Consider the following 13,533-nt stretch of genomic DNA (forward strand, 5'->3'; position numbering starts at 1 on the left):
CAGGCTGGTCTCGGACTCTTGACCTCAGGTGATCCACCTGCGTCGGTCTCCCAAAGTGCTGGGATTACAGGTGTGAGCCACCACACCCAGCCCTTTTTTTTCAAGACAGGGTCTCTCTCTGCCACCCAAGGTGGAGTGCAGTGGCGCCAAAACAGCTCACTGCAGCTTCCACCTCCTGGGCTCAGGTGATCTTCCTGCCTCAGCCTCCCCAGCAGCTGGGCCCCACCACACCGGCTAATTTTTTAACTTTTAGTAGTGACGAGGTCTGATTCTGTTACCCAGGCTGGTCTGGAACTCCTGGCCTCAAGACATCCGCCTGCCTCTGCCTCCCAAAGTGCTGGGATTACAGATGTAAGCCACCGCGCCTGGGCTCCTATGATTTTTATTTAACATAATGCACCATGGAATTTGTGCTCTGCTTAGTTCAGTCTGAGCAGGAGTTCCTTGATACTTCGGGAAACACTGAAAATCATTCCATCCCCATCCATTCATTCCTGCAGCACCCAAGTGGAAATTCTGCGTTTCAGACAGGGACACTACCCTTAGAGAGCAGTGGGCTTCCCCAGCAGCGTAGTGAAACATGATACTCCTGAGTTTCATGAAAAAAGGGCAGACATCTGGCCAGAGCTGGGAGGCAGGAAATAGAGCACGGTGCCCTCCTCCCATACTCCAGCTTGGATTACTGAGGCTGGGGCCCAGGCCCTGCAGGAAAGGAGGTGCATGACTACTTTAAGGCCACTCACTCTGTGACTCAACGGGCCGGGTCGGGGCTGGAACTCAATGCCCTCCCGGGCCTGGAGAGCCCACGCGCCGTGGGCGGGGCTCCCGGGGTCGCCTAGGCAACAGGCGCGCGCCGCGCCCGAGCCCAGAGCCCCAAAGCGGAGGAGGGAACGCGCGCTATTAGATATCTCGCGGTGCTGGGGCCACTTCCCCTAGCACCGCCCCCGGCTCCTCCCCGCGGAAGTGCTTGTCGAAATTCTCGATCGCTGATTGGTCCTTCTGCTTCAGGGGCGGAGCCCCTGGCAGGCGTGATGCGTAGTTCCGGCTGCCGGTTGACATGAAGAAGCAGCAGCGGCTAGGGCGGCGGTAGCTGCAGGGGTCGGGGATTGCAGCGGGCCTCGGGGCTAAGAGCGCGACGCGGCCTAGAGCGGCAGACGGCGCAGTGGGCCGAGAAGGAGGCGCAGCAGCCGCCCTGGCCCGTCATGGAGATGGAAAAGGAGTTCGAGCAGATCGACAAGTCCGGGAGCTGGGCGGCCATTTACCAGGTGCGGGAGCGCCCCGGAGCGTGGCGGGCCCTTCGCTTAGGCCGCTTGAACATCCCCTCAGACCTCCAGGCCCCAGACTCCCTCTGGGTCTTGCCCTCTGCCTCGCTCCTACTGCTTGAGGATTCGATGGGACAGCGACGCACTGCGTCCCCCCACCCTTTGTCCCCGGGGCGGGCGTGTTTCTCGCCGCAGCGTCGGAGCCCCCTTCGATCCCCCACCTCCCTTCTGTTCTCCAGCTCGGGTGATCTCTCAAGCCGGGGGACCGCCGGTCTGTGCTCTCAACGCGAATCCCTCGCACCCCGACCCCGCCCCCTGCCTGTCCACTCTTTGTCCCCTGGGGTGATTTAGCACCCCCACTATTTCCTTTTCTGGAGTGGACCACCTCAGACTCTCTTCCTTTGTCTCCCTGGGGGAAAAGGTTACTCCCCCCGTCCCTCCTTCACATTTCCTTTCCCCTAGTCTCAGTGTGCGTCGAGTCCCAGAGATGACAGTCCCCTTTCCCCTTTCTGTTCATTCATTTATTGGATAGGAGTTGGCAAGCTTATTCTGTGCTAGGCACCGCTTAGGCATTGGAGGTGGTGTTTGCTAATCAGGACAGGCAAGATCCTAGCCTTAGTGGGGCCTAGAGTCGAATAGGGCAATCAAACACAAAAGCAAATAATTTCAGATAGTGACAGGTGCTGTGAAGAGAACGACTTCCTAACGGGGTACAGGGTGACTGCATAGAAGGCCGGCTGTCTTAGAGAAGGGGATCAGGGAAGGCCTGTCAAAGGAGGAGACATTTGCTTTGTGAGCTGAACCAAGAGGAGCAGAAAGCCGTGAGAATATGGGGCTAAAGAACCTTCTAGCCAGGAGGCCTGCGGTACCCACTCCATTGGGGCCATGATATTATTCTTTCAGGCAGGGACTCAGGAAGGTTAACGTTTTAACCCTCTCTAAAATAGCATCTTTCCTCAATGAGCAGCTTAGTCTTTGGTCGTGGCAGAGATGACCTTGTCTTAGGAGTCATCTCCTTGTGTGTTAAAAAGTTAGGAAAGGAGGGTTTCTCATATATCTATAAAACAAGTAGTTAAAAACACAAAGAGCTCTTCCTTTCACAAGCAGCTGAATAAGATACATACTCCCAATTAAATGTCATTGCGGGGGTTGTTAAGATTAACTAAAACCACACTTGCACAGTATCTTAAATAAGCGATATACAGAATAGAGAGATTTTGTTACTTGTGTAAAGGGAGACAGCAGATGATTCTGTTTTCAGCTTATAGGCTCAAAAGGCAAATTGTGAGATCCATCAGCTGTAGTATTAAAATCTATTTTGAGCTCCGCTTAGAAAGGAAAAAAGGTTTAAGCAGTTCTTTGGTATGCTTGACTAACAAAAGCCTTTTTTTTTGGCAGCCTTGATTTTCATGTGGATTTACATCAAGCTTATTTGACAGGATTCTTTTTATTTGGACTGTAGTGTGTATATTAGTTTCTGCTAGACTAATATTTCTAACCACTGTAATCTATATACTAATAAGTATGATTGATCAGTATATAAAATTTGTATGCCATATCTGGTCTCTGAATTAGCTGAATGAATTCCATAAGGGACTTTGAGACTGTGTAGACAAATTTTCTGCATCAGTTTAATGCAGTAGAGTCTAAAATGTCTTTAAATGAAAATTGTTGGTCTGAAGTGTTGGAGTTGATTATGATACACCCCATCACAGTGGAAGCATTGTGGAGAGAAGTCTTTTCCACTGAAATTGACTGAGTTGACAACAAGAAATACGTATTGTAACTTAGTTCTTAGTTGAATTTTATTTCTTACAATTTTAAGCCAGAGTGGGTTGACCTGTCACCCAAGCATGGTTAAAATTGTATTCAGCATGCAACTAGCATGGAGTGTGTCAGTCTTCAATTCATTTCCTTCATTGTTCTTAAGTTTTTCTGCCACAATTAAACCCCACAAGTTAGTCAAGGTGTTGAGATTTTCACTGCTTCTTAATGGATTGCCACATTCCCTGAGGTAGTTTCTTTTGGTCTTAGAGAATTGTCAGGGCCAGCTTTTCTCACCTCCACTGTATGGATATTTTTCTTTTCTAAGATCTTGAAATCAGAAGCTTTTCTCCTAAGTGTAAAAGTAGCTCTTTGTCATACAACTGTAGCGTTTTCTGAAACAGAGTTCAGATGACCTTGAGTCTAAAGTGGCTAACTTTCCAAGGTGTGTATCGCTTTACCAAAACCATTATTTTTCAAGGATTCAAAGAATGTGTTTACAATTGATAGAAAATGGAAGTTTAAAAAAATTAATACTTTATAGCATGTTGAAATGAGGGCAGCCTTATACAAAGTCATACTTTGAGCTTGCCTAGCCTATTGTGATCAGAGAATAATGTAATTTTTGCTTACAACTTGGTAAGCAGGTCAGTTATTCTAACTTATTTTCTGATTAGAACAAAAAGATGTAAAAACTTGAAAACTATTGGGAAAAGAACAAAGAGTGAAGAGGACTTTTGAGTGCTGAGGAATGTGGCAGCTTGGAAAACAAACTTTTTAGGCAGAGATTCTTTGCTAGGTCAGTTTGATAAAGTGAGCATAACCGTATTTTTAATCTTTAATGCTAATGAATAGCATAGATGCTAATAAGCATCTAGGTCTATAAAAAGTCAGCTTTGATAGTGTATATAGATGGCTTTAAACATTGTTTTCTAGCATTTAAACACTTTCAAATCATCCGGTTGCTTGATTGGGCCTAGCTGTCTAAGAGGAGAGAATGAGCCCAGATGAGGAAAAGAGATTGATTTTACTGAGCTAGAATGAGAGGAGAGAGGGTTGAGTGAATGAAAAGAATAGCTCATGTGCTCCCCTCCATCTGTAGTTTAAGAGGGGTTGGGTCCGGTGTTTTGCTTGTTTTCTCGTCTGTAAATTCTTTGATTCTCTGACACCACTCACTATATTTCATTGTGAATGATTTGATTGTTTCAGATAAAGGGGACTGCAATAATACCTTGTGACATGAAGGCAAGATTTATTCATGTTAGAGGCAGGCTTTGTAAAATGGGCCACTCTTCCAATTGACATTTGTTTTTATAGCTGTTTTCATTATGAAATACAATCTAATGCCTGACTAGGTTAAAACCATGTTGTAACAATAGTTCACTAAAATTCCTTACTGATATACAGCTTATGTTGTTATATTCCAAAAAGATGAATATTAAAATTTGCCAATAATGTTTATTTAAATACTATTTTCTTCAGAGGAAAAAAAACTATTTTATGCAAAGGAGAAAGATCTATACACTATGACTCACTTCACTTAAAAAAAAAAAGACTAACGGAAATGACATGGAGAGACTGGGAAGTTCTAGTCATCTTGAGTGACCCATTAGATCTAAATGTTCTTGTTTAGCCCTGGTTTGAGTGAACTAAATTTAGGTGTCTGATCAGTACTTTGGAAATGGTGTAAATGCCTTTGTAATTGTCTGGACTGATATTAGATTAACTGGGAGCACAAGTAGAAATAGTGAAGGAAAGAACTTTTTGCTATTGTTATTTGACATCACTGGCATATTTATAGGAATACTTTGGTGTTTTTGGAAGTAAGTAAACCAACCAGTGGTTCTAAAAAGTCAGCTGGGGGATAATGGTAATGCCGCTGTTTCTTAGCTGCAAGTTATCTGCCGTTACTTCTCCTCCATTTTGCATTTTATCTTGAATAGCTCCTCAAAACCTATTAAAATACCTGGTATTGAATAATGTAATTGAATGTGTACTGAATTTCACAGTGGAAATGAATAAGAAATTTCCTGTGGAGGTTTTTTGACTTAGCTACTGAAATAACGGCCTTTTGTTGTGTGATTCTTTCCCTTTTCTCTTTGTTAAAGAAAACTGTCTTGTGATCTTGTAGATTACAGAATCCTTTTGGCAATTTCTGTTCCTAGCACTGCTTTTTCTTTCTTTCTTTCTTTTAAATAGAAATGGGGTTTTGCTGTGTTGCCCAGGTTGGTCTTGAACTCCTGGCTTCAAGCGATCCTCCCACCTTGGCCTCCTGAAGTTGGGATTGCAGGCGTGAGCAGGTACTTTTTCTGAGGCCTGCCTGAGCCTATATATATTTTGCACAATTTGGCATTCCTCCCTACAGTGTTTATGCTGATTTGTTTCTGGTAACAACTAATACTGGCAAATCGGCTGGGCATGTTACTTTATGCTGCCCATATTCAGGAAAATTGGAATTCTAGCTGGGTCATTGTTCCCAGATGATGTAGTTTGGCACCAGCCATTCCATGTTCACATTTTGAGTATCCAGGAGGGCTGGGGACTTTGGAGTAGTTGGTGATTCCCTCTGCCACATTTCACTGGTTGGTCACTATGGCATCCTTTCCACCACACTAGTAGTCTAGGTTCTCAGATGTTGCTTATGAGCCTGCAATGGTTTCTAGTTTCACACTGCAGAAATGAGTGAAGCCGGTTACCCGTTAATATGGTCCCATCATCACTAGAGTAATTCATTGTTCTAAAACCAGATCTGAGTCTCTCACTCCTCTGCAACTACTTCTGATTCTTTCATAACACTTGTAAAGTCCAAACTCCTCTTTAGCATGGCAGCCAGCTTCCAGTCCTTCCCTCCTATGTGGCTTCCATTCTAGCCAGACAAGAAAGGGCAGCGTTCTCCAAACTCATCCTCGCCCTTCATTCCTCTATACCATTGCTGAGCACTTTGTTGAGGATGCCTCTCCCGTTCAATCTAGCTTGCATCTTCCAGCTCGAATGTGTGCTTCCTTGCACCAGAGTTTTGTTCCGTCACCTGTGTGTTTTCATACAAGCTGGCACATATCTCTTCTAAAGCCCTGCTGTCATTGTAGCTGCGTCTTTACAAACATTTTTTTTTTAAATTTTTATAAAGTCAAGGTCTCACTATATTGCCCAGGCTGGTCTCAAACTCCTGGGCTCAAGTGATCCTCCTGCCTTGGCCTCCCAGAGTGCTGGGATTATAGGTATGAGACACTGTGCCCAGCTGTAGCTGCTACTTTATATCCCAGGTCTATCTCCAATGGAGCCCAAGCTTCCTGAGGCCACCTGTTGTATCTTTCTCATTCATCTTGAAGTCCTCTGCTCCTGGCACAGAGTAGGTACCTAACAAGAGTTGGGATTGAATTGATGGTCAGTACTTTGCTAGCCTGATGGTATAAAGATGTACAAAACATGTTCCTGGCTCCCACTCTAGGGGGGCAATGATGGAAACAAATAGATTAGCCCACATTAGTACCAATAGTAGAGGTCACTCTGGGAGAAGGCCCCCACCACATTTTGAGTCATGGCCTAATGAGGTAATTTAGTATTGCCTGCTGCAGTGGCTTTGGAAGAAAGGCTGGCATTCTTAGCCAGTAGAAGCTGATACCACTGATTTGTTTCACAGAAGCTTTAAATATAACAATAAATTTGTGCTTGGCCTACGGTGAACTTTACAGGCAACTTGGAGGTAATATGTTTGTCTCTCTAAGAATTGTTGAATTCCTCTTCCCTCATCCCTCCTGACTGGTTCTCACAAGCCTAGCGGGCCTTTGCATGTGGTTGGTTCATAAAATACTTTTTGATTTTGGGATATAAAATATAGTTCTCCATAAAATAACGACTGTTACCAAGTCTTTGATTTTTTTTTTCAAACTATAAATGGTAATGACATTCTTTGGCCTTTGATCAGACCACCCTTAGGGGCAAGAGAGTAGTTTCATGTTTTGCTTTTTCTAGTGTCCCCTGTGTCTGGGTATAGTTGCAGTCTCAGCTGTCATACTAACAGTGCTGAGTGAGTCCCTTACTTTCTTTGGGTTTTGGTTTCTCCCTTGTAAAAATGATCCTGGACTAACTGATCATTAAGTTCAGGTCAAGTAATAAAAATCCTTAATGTACTCACAAATACAATTTAATGTTCCTGAATAATCCTTGTAAAAACTGCAGCAGTTACTCAGTTTTGTAAGGTGTGGTTGGGTACTATTAGGCTCAAAAGTTTATAGGAGCTTTGTGAGTATAGTTAACAACTCAAAAGAATGGGGTGTTTTTTCCCGAGGGGCATGAAATGTTTTTGATAAATAGAGTTCATTTGACTTGGTAATGTGGAAAATGAGTAGCCCTGACACGTACGCTATGCTTTTGCAGTTTTTCTCTCAAGTAGCAATTGGGTGGCTTTTCCTGTAAAAGATAGAGGAACTGATTCTTGAGAATTTACGAAAGCTTCAACCCTAACTAGGTATGCAAAGAATAGTTGCCCTTTATGTTGTAATTTTAGGAAGAAACCTACATCTGGTCTAAGTTTCATTTGAATAATATGATAGTTTACACATCTGCCATATTTGAGAAGAAAGTACCTAAGTCTCCAGCATTTTAGAAATAATGCTTTACTTTGTGTAGAAATGGTCTTTAGAGTTTAATAGCTGCTGCCCTCTCCTTTTTCAAAGCAGCTTGACATAATCATGAGTATCTTGCTGACAGCTTGTAAATTTTGATTGTATGAAAACTGAAAATAAGACCATTTCACATGGAAGATTCCCTCCTGCCCTGAAACAGCCAAAGAAAACTGTAGCCATCAAATCTATTGATCTCTGGGCTTTGGTACAAGTCACACTACTACAAATAAAATAATACCAAGTACTTATAAATGATTTTCAGTCCTTTTAAAGTTTATTTTTTTAATATTTTTTTTGAGATGGGGTCTTGCTGTGTCGTCCAGGCTGGAGTGCAGTGGCACAATCTTGGCTCACTGCAACCTCCACCTCCTGGGCTCAAGTGATCCTCCCACCTCAGGCTCCCAAGTAGCTGAGACTACAGGCATGTGCCATCACGCCCAGCTAATTTTTGTATTTTTTTGGAGTAGAGATGGGATTTTGCTGTGTTGCCCAGGCTGGTCTTGAACTCCTGGGCTTAAGCCATCTGTCTGCCTCAGGCTCCCAAAGTGTTGGGATTACAGGTGTGAGCCACTGTGCCCGGCCCAGCCCTTTTTTTAAGAGAAAAACGTATGACATCGTTCGATTTACTGAGTGCTTATGGTTTTACTAAGGCAGTAAGGTTTTATGGATACCCTATGGTAATTAGATAGAATTAGTGCTCTGAAGTCAGCTCTGTAATATGGACTCAGAGTAAACATGGCAAAGGGACACTTAAGGTCTGCATTTTCTCTGGGAAATAAACGTATTCTTTACTACTCTGAATCTAGTGCTGGGAAATTCTAAATCCTTCTTGAGGATTAACCACTTGAAGTAAAGTTTTGGGTCCCAAGTAGGCTTGTGTCCCTGTCTCCTTCTCTTTACTTTTCAGATGTTTCTTCCTAGAGACTGAGGTATATTTTACTTTTACAGATGAAGAAGGAAGCCTCGGCTGTGTTTGTGGCTTTTGTGGGTGAGCAACATCACTTGCAAAGATAAGATGAGCATAGCAAAACTAGGCTTTCAAAATAATTTTTAAAAATTTCTTAGTGATTAGAAAAGGAAAACTCTTCCCTTGTCTCTGTTAAGAAACGTTTTTCGACTTTTTTCCTTTCTTAATGGATCTTTTATTGGCACTTCTCTTCCTTTTGCAGAATCTTACTTAAAAGTCACTACGTTACATTACAGCAAACAGCTTAGCTAATTTTTATCCAGATGGGCCCCGGTTACAGGATTGTACACTATTGCGAATTTCTTACAGGAAAGTGAACATCAAGTAATTATTCCAAATAGAGTTCTCTTAAGAACGTGAGTTACTTAAAAATGTCTAAGGATGAAGTCACTTCTGAATATAACTTCACTCAAGAGAACAAATAAGCAAACTGCATTTAGCATAACATGGTAAATTAGCTTTAACTCTCCTTGATGTTTGAACATTTGTCGCTGTTAACTACTGTTTCACTTTTCAAATAGTCAGGGCTTAGTTTGCTTCTGTAAGGATAAAGGGAAAATACGCCTTCACTGAGTCATAAATATTTTTGTGGCTAACTTTTGCACAGAGAAAAGAGGCCTCTAAGAAGGTACCCAGTGAATTTTTTTTTCGGGGCAGGGAGAGAATATGTCATTTTTTGGTTTGTTGTTGTTGTTGTCATTGTTTTGCTTTGTTGTTTTTACTCTGAACTGAACTGTATCTTGACAGCACTTTTGAATTAAGAGCATTACTCTTATTGTTCTCTACTACCTGGACGCCACCTCCCTGTTGCCATAGTGTTAAGGATCATGCTCCGAGGTGGGGTGAGGCAGAATGGGGCCAAGATCAGAAAGTTACATTAAGCTACATCAGGTTTATACAAGCATAAAACCAAATTTTTGGAGCAGTCCCCAGAATACAACCTGGTTTAGCCACACCTAAAGGTTGCTCTTGAATATTCCTTGAGAATCCACATCCCTAGAATGCTGGGTTTCAATGGGCCCTTTATGTACCTATCATGGTGTCATTTCTGAGCATTTCTAAATATTCCTTCATGTCTTACTGACAGTTTTTCTTGAATAAATCTTAGGAATATTAGTGCCATTATCAGTATTTTGTTTGGTCTGTTCACACCACAAATAACTACCCAGGTCTGCTACTTGCCCCTATTTCTCTACCTGCTAATGAAAATGCTTTTGAAAGTTTGAGTAACAGTATTGGAGTGTGCACAGTGGTATTGGTAGGTTCTGTACTCATCCTTAACCACTTGTTTTCATCCTTTGTGAGCTTGAAGTTTCTCCAAAAAATTTATCACAAAACTTATCAGACATAGTTAATACACTCAGAGAGAGAATCACTGAAAAAGTAGATGTAGTTTAACAAACCCAGTGCCTTTTTTTTACCCATGAATACATATTTGTCAACTAAACCTCATTTTGCAACTTGTTCCACTACTCGAATGGTAACAAACTTTTGGTTTCCCAATAGATTTGGAAGATGTTGCTTTTGAAAGTAGGAAATAGATGGCTTTAGAAGATGGAAGAATATTTTGTTTGAAGTGGGAGCGTGGTATGTCCTTAGCTGTCTGTGAAATGCAGCTGAAGATGGGTGTGGGCCTTCATCTGCATTTCCCATCTTCAGTTTGAGGAGGTAGTTACCCTTCTAACCACTTAAGAACTGCATGGTACATGCTGTTTTATTTACAGGGCAAAACTGTGCTCCCGTAGTTTCCCTGGTGCTTGCCTTCACGTTAACACAGTGTCATCGTTTGGCAGTGTTTATGTGCCAGGGTCCATGTTAGAAGGAGGAAAGGTATAGCGAAGTTAAAGGGTGCAGTTGGCCTCCCACCTTTAGTTTTGTAAGTGCCTTTAAAGTTTGATTTTTGTAGGTTGATCATAAGGAAGTGATAAGTATGTTAGGTTATTTGTGGTTTGAGCTAATTTTAGTCTCTTTTTACAGCTTGCTTTGTATCCTTTGCCATTAAAACATGCTTTCTAGAAAGACAACTTTTGAATGTAGGACACAGTCTATATTCTATACTTGGCTACATTTCAAAAAATATTTTCTCAGTACTTTGGAAGTTGGACAGTTGGAAGCATAGTGACAGTATTTAAAAATCTTTGATTCCGGCCGGGCATGGTGGCTCACGCCTGTAATCCCAGCACTTTGGGAGGCCGAGGTGGGTGGATCACTTGAGGTCCGGAGTTCAGGACCAGCCTGACCAACATGGTGAAACCCTGTCTCTACTAAAAATACAAAATTAGCCGAGCGTGGTGGTACATGCCTGTAATCCCAGCTACTCAGGAGGCTGAGGCAGGAGAATCGCTTGAATCTGGGAGGCGGAGGTTGCATTGAGCCGAGATCATACCATTGCACTACAGCCTGGGGGACAAGAGTGAAACTCTGTCTCAAAAAAAAAAAAAAAATTAAGTGATTTCTTTGCTTTGTGACACTTCTACTTTTCCAGCAAGTAAATTATATTCTTTCATACAGGTATGAAATTCTTGTTCCAAGCTAGTGGTTAAAAAGGCACAGTTGATATTAGAGGATTTGTAAAAGATTATGACCACGCCTGCAATGTACTGAAGCAAGGCTTTGCTGGGCTGTGTATAGGAAACCTTCCCCAGCCTGTGCCCTTGCTTGATAGAACATTTTGCTCCTAAGGGTAGGTGCCTGTATCTGTCTCCAGTACTGGTTAGTTTCACACAGAACAGTTGTGTTTCAGAGCTTTAGTCTCAAGCTGCCCTGCTCCCCTGAAGCAGCCACCCTGAGCATGTGCACTCACAGGAGGGGACATGTGAGGTCATGGAAGAAGACGACTCAGGAAGAAGAAGACTTGGGTTTGGGTTCTGACTCTGCCTTTGACTGTTGTGGGATTTTGAGGAGTTGCATACAGGATCTGTAAAATGTAGTCATTAGACTAGACTAGACAGCCATATAGCATTACCTAGATGTAACTTTCTACAAAGACATGGTCACAGGAGAAGACCAGAGGGTGGGGTGATCTTTCTGGAAAAATTGGGGCTTCATGCCTTACTCATGCTAGATATGGTAGCATTATATGGCTGTGCCTGATCCCCCTAATCTAAAAGTGGGACAGAACTTTAAAATTTCATATTAACTCAAATTAAAACTTGAAAAAAACCCATTATTTCCTTAAAAATAATAAAATGCCCTGTGGGGGCATAAGTCACATTATATTTTAAAATTCCTGAATGCCACATGGATGAATGTAGTTCCTTTTGAAATTCTTCTTTTGTCTAAAGAGGAATGTTGGATTTTGTAATTGGACTAAAAAATCTTCCATTTGAGAGAGAAACAGTCTGCTGCATGTTCTACCCTTGTTCAGGATAAAACCCACTAATAGCTAACATTTATTGAATTCTGTGTTGTGCCTCAGGCACTGTGCAAAGTCCTTTACATGCAATGCTGTTTATTATATACTGTCAATTGGTCTATAACAGCAGGAAATGTTTCAGGAGGACAATGAGGTCCCAGACCCTCAGTCTTCTCCTGTGTCCTGGATTCAGCTTCACAATAGCACTATGGCAGTGTGGCCACTGCTTCAGCTTCCACATACATGGCTGTGAAGAGAGACAGGGGATTGTGCTAAGCCTCCCCGATTTATTAGGACATAGGAGGAGAGAGTTTGTAGTTTTTGACCTTTGCCTAGTTTTCTAACCTCTTTCCTAGATGTCACAAATTGGCCACCCACAGTCATATTTTGCTTGCTTCACGCAATGCTTTTTAAAAAAGAGAAGAGTTTAATTTGTGCCATTGTTTATAAATGAATCAGGAGAAATGACATGCAACTCTGGATTCTGGCCTCTCTTGAAAAATCTGAAAATCACACCGTCTGAGCTTACACTGGCAGTGGTCTGCTGGACTGAGGGACACAACTCCTTTTGGATGTACATGTGTGCGTTGCAGAGTTTACCACAGTCCCACAGTGGGTCACACTGTCCTTGTCGGTGTACACTACCTAGCACTTGAGTTTGCAACCCCTACCCCAAGCTGAGTTTTCTCGTCAAGCTTGATGTTAATGTTATGTGATGCTTGGCCTTGTAGGTATTTGGTATATTATCGTTAGATAAAATTGAAGCAAAGGGCTAAAGGGTTGGTGGCCTGAGGGAGTGCCCTTGACAGTAAAGTCTAGGATAAAATCATTGGCCAGGTACTCCTTCCCTTCCCGCCCTTCCTCTTTTCTCTTTATCCTCAGCCTCCTTCTGCTATTTTGAGGAAGTTAGAAGCCACCACCATTTTTTCCCACCTCAGGCAACTGAGTGTGGCTGTATTTCTGTCCCATGTTCAGTTATTTCCAGGAACTATTTTTGATGACCAACTTGAAGTTACATTGGGTGGGCCTAATGGGGGCTGATAAAAGAATGAGGTGACCAAATATGCTTGCACTGAGACGGCTACGAAGTAAGGTTTTTAATGACTTGCTTTGTGACTTGGTCAGGAGTGATACCATTTGTCATGTGTCCAACTTCATGACTAAATGGTTGCTCTACCTTATCCTCATAGCTATAATAAAATAAAATAAATACATACATTGCAGGGAGGAATGTATCTTGTTAAAGGTCTCTCCCTTTTAGCAACAAAAGTACATATTATGTTGTAGAACATGCTTTTTCTTTGATCCTTCTTGAACACCTATTACTCTATAGAGGTATGTTGTGTATGGCAAATTAGAACAAGCAATAGATAAGGATGATTCTTTACCATTATAACCCAGTCAAGGTCTTTGTCCTAAGTTTTGTACCTTTCTCCAGAGGGAAAGGTATTTGTATTTATTTATTTATTTTTGAGGCAGAGTTTTGCTCTTGTTGCCCAGGCTGGGGTGCAATGGCACGATCTCAGCTCACTGTAACATCCGCCTCCCGAGTTCAAGTGA

At 42.4% G+C, this 13,533-nt stretch overlaps 1 protein-coding gene across 2 annotated transcripts in view, besides 5 other annotated features; it reads left to right on the forward strand.

Moving 5' to 3' along the window:
• Window positions 232–819: an enhancer, noted in NCBI's record as "H3K27ac-H3K4me1 hESC enhancer chr20:49126094-49126681 (GRCh37/hg19 assembly coordinates)". NCBI's record gives its function as "activates a minimal SCP1, AML or CMV promoter by ChIP-STARR-seq in naive H9 embryonic stem cells {active_cell/tissue: H9 hESC(naive)}" and the evidence as "EXISTENCE:reporter gene assay evidence [ECO:0000049][PMID:30033119]".
• Window positions 232–921: a biological region, named in NCBI's record as "H3K27ac-H3K4me1 hESC enhancer GRCh37_chr20:49126094-49126681".
• Window positions 692–921: a silencer, noted in NCBI's record as "silent region_13021". NCBI's record gives its function as "represses an Ori minimal core promoter by ATAC-STARR-seq in GM12878 lymphoblastoid cells {active_cell/tissue: GM12878}" and the evidence as "EXISTENCE:reporter gene assay evidence [ECO:0000049][PMID:35858748]".
• Window positions 1,032–1,131: an enhancer, noted in NCBI's record as "active region_18091". NCBI's record gives its function as "activates an Ori minimal core promoter by ATAC-STARR-seq in GM12878 lymphoblastoid cells {active_cell/tissue: GM12878}" and the evidence as "EXISTENCE:reporter gene assay evidence [ECO:0000049][PMID:35858748]".
• PTPN1 (protein tyrosine phosphatase non-receptor type 1) overlaps window positions 1,058–13,533 on the forward strand; it is a 74,859-nt gene continuing 62,383 nt past the window's right edge. For both annotated transcript variants that reach the window (NM_002827.4, NM_001278618.2), the window contains exon 1: window positions 1,058–1,265. In NM_002827.4, the coding sequence (NP_002818.1) occupies window positions 1,203–1,265 (63 nt within the window). In that variant the 5' untranslated portion in view covers window positions 1,058–1,202. The remainder of the gene's footprint in view (window positions 1,266–13,533) is intronic.
• Window positions 11,301–11,350: a silencer, noted in NCBI's record as "silent region_13022". NCBI's record gives its function as "represses an Ori minimal core promoter by ATAC-STARR-seq in GM12878 lymphoblastoid cells {active_cell/tissue: GM12878}" and the evidence as "EXISTENCE:reporter gene assay evidence [ECO:0000049][PMID:35858748]".

Source organism: Homo sapiens, chromosome 20 (assembly GCF_000001405.40).
Source record: "Homo sapiens chromosome 20, GRCh38.p14 Primary Assembly".
NCBI classification, from domain to species: Eukaryota; Metazoa; Chordata; class Mammalia; order Primates; family Hominidae; genus Homo; species Homo sapiens.